This window comes from Homo sapiens, chromosome 8, assembly GCF_000001405.40.
Source record: "Homo sapiens chromosome 8, GRCh38.p14 Primary Assembly".
In the NCBI taxonomy this organism is placed as follows: Eukaryota; Metazoa; Chordata; class Mammalia; order Primates; family Hominidae; genus Homo; species Homo sapiens.
In genome coordinates, this window is record NC_000008.11 from 89,504,252 (window position 1) to 89,504,814 (window position 563).

Below are 563 nucleotides of genomic sequence, written 5' to 3' on the forward strand. Positions count from 1 at the left end.
TTAAATATCTAGGGGCCTACCGTAAGCCACCTTGTTAGTATAAACTATCAGAACCTACCAAGAATAACAAATATGCTCCTCTCACTTGAACAATCCCAAGGATTGAGAGGCCACCTCTCAGAAACAGTGGACAAAGATCAGCCAGACTCTCCATTACACTGCAGTGCTTTTCATGTATTATCTAATATAATTCCTATGATTCATATGTTCACCTGCAGAGTTGGGTGGTGTTACTCCAGAGCTTAGGAATACAAGTTCAGGGAACTTAAATAAATTTTCCAAGGTCATGCAGCTAATGAGTGGCAATGCCAGATTTGAAACCATGTCTTTCTTTTTATATTTCCTTTCTAAAATTTTCTAATATACAACCTAATTATGCCTCAAGTTCAATTTTATTAGAAAAATTAATAATAATTTTTCATCTCCCATAGTACAGTTACCTGGTCATGGTTTCAGCAGAAGAATGAATATTTATATGAAAGATATTTAGCATGCTCAGTAATTATCTTCAAAGTCAGGAGAGACAATGAAATGTTAAGGACAAAAATGGACTTGAGTTCTAA